Source organism: Homo sapiens, chromosome 3, assembly GCF_000001405.40.
Source record: "Homo sapiens chromosome 3, GRCh38.p14 Primary Assembly".
Classification (NCBI taxonomy): Eukaryota; Metazoa; Chordata; class Mammalia; order Primates; family Hominidae; genus Homo; species Homo sapiens.
In genome coordinates, this window is record NC_000003.12 from 14,642,905 (window position 1) to 14,644,973 (window position 2,069).

A 2,069-nucleotide genomic window follows, 5' to 3' on the forward strand; every position below is an offset into this window, starting at 1 on the left:
CACAGGACCTGGATCCTGCCCACCACCCCTCCTACCTCACATCCCACTTCTCTTTCTCACCCACTTCTGGACCTCTTTCCAACCTAAGGACTTCATACGTGCTGTTAAATCCTTAAACACATTTCTCCCTGTTCTTCCAGGTATTCAGTTATGGCTTAAACATCACCTCCTCTGAGACACCTTCACTCGTCACAGTCTGTATTAGATTCATTCCCACCTCTTGATTCTCTATTATCGCACCACATTGCCATGATCCTTTCACAGCAATGACCGTGATGTAATGTGCCCTGCTTCCTTGTGGGGGTGTGGTAGGGGTGGTGTCTGCCTTCCCTCTGGAGTGTGAGGAACATGAGGACCAGATAAATAATGGATAGAAAGAGCCATCTTTGCAGTCAGACAGCCCTGGATTTTACTTCTTGTTCCAGTACCAACTGTGAGTCCCTTCACTCTCCCGGCCTCCATCTCCTCATCTGCAGAATGGGAATAAGAATACTCACAGGTTGCTGTGAGGATTAAATGGGATAGTGTAAAGAGAGCACTTGGCCCAATTCACAGTAGAGAACAGTCACTTAGAAAGTGTCTTGACTATCAAATGCATGAATAAAAGTGTAAGCACAGTCAAGTCCCTGCATGCTGTTGTTTTTAGGGATGAACTCTTGGGAGGAAGGTGGCATTGGGGTGCCTGGGTGGAGGCTCCTTGGAATGGAAGGATGAAGAAGGTGTGTGCTTGAGAACAGAGCTCGGTTTCCCCAGGCAGCTTCTGCATCTACCTCTCTTGACACAGCACCACAGGGGCTGGCAAGCCCTCATTCCTCCTTTAAAACTGCGACCCTAGCTCCCATCCTTCAAGTCACTGTCCCCAGGACTGTTCTCCCTGATGCCTCTCTCTTGCAGGACCCAGGAGGGAGGCGGCCACCGCTGTTATGGTCCTTCTTTGGAGAAACACACCCCTCCCCCCAAGAGTGCCTCCTAGCACTGTCTCTATCTGTGTCTGTCTAGACCAGGCAGGAAATTAAAGTGGGTATCAGGACATTTGCAACAAATAGCTCAGGCCCCAGGCTGAGACCCACGTGTCTACAAAAAGGAATGTGATTGAGGGACCTCTTTCTTTCAAGTACAGTCTCATATCAGACTGTTGGGGCCACACAGAAACTTGGATTGTTTCCATCTCTGCATGTATGAAGGGTAAAAAGACAGCAGGGAGGATGCAGAGATGATGGTGAACCAGGGGAGACAGGTCCAAGAGCCCTGTCTCCTGGGAGAGGCAGGGGACTGCGAGCTTAGGCGCTCCCGCATCGCTGCAGGTGGGCCAGTGGAACTCCCTGAGCCTCCATTCCCTCATCTGTGAGGTGGACATGTTAACATACCTGCAGCTTAGGCTGCAGTGAAACATAAACGAGTTAAAATATGTAAAGCACTCTGATCTTTATGCTTTCCTTCCTTCTCCTGATTTTGGGCTTAGTTTGTTCTTTTCCTAATTCCTTGAGTTGTAACGTTAAGTTACTTATTTGAGATCTTTCTTCTTTTTTTGATGTAGGCACTTGTTATAAATCTTTCTTCTTTTTTGATGTAGGCACTTGTTCATTGCAGCATTATTCACAACAGCTAAGATATGAAACCAGCCTAAGTGTCTATCAATAGATGAGTGGATAAAGAAAATGTGGTGCATATATGTATGCAATGGAAAATATTCAGCCTTAAAAGGTGGGGGGAATCTGTCATTTTTGACAATGTGGATGAACCTTGAGGACATTATGCTGAGTTAAGTAAGCCAAGTACAGAAAGACAAACACCGCATGATCTGACTTACTGTGGAATCGAAGAAAGCTGAACTCACAGAAGTGGAGGGTGGGATGGCGGTTAGCAGAGGCTGTGGGAGAGGGGTGGATGGGGAAAGGAGATGTCGATCAAAGGGCACAAAGTCTCAGTTGGACAGGAGGAATAAGCATTAGTGATCTACTGCACAGTACGGTAACTATAATAAATAGAAATGCATTGCATATTGCAAAATTGCTAAAAGTAAATTTTAAATGATTTAACCACAAAAAAGAGGTATGTGAGGTGATGGA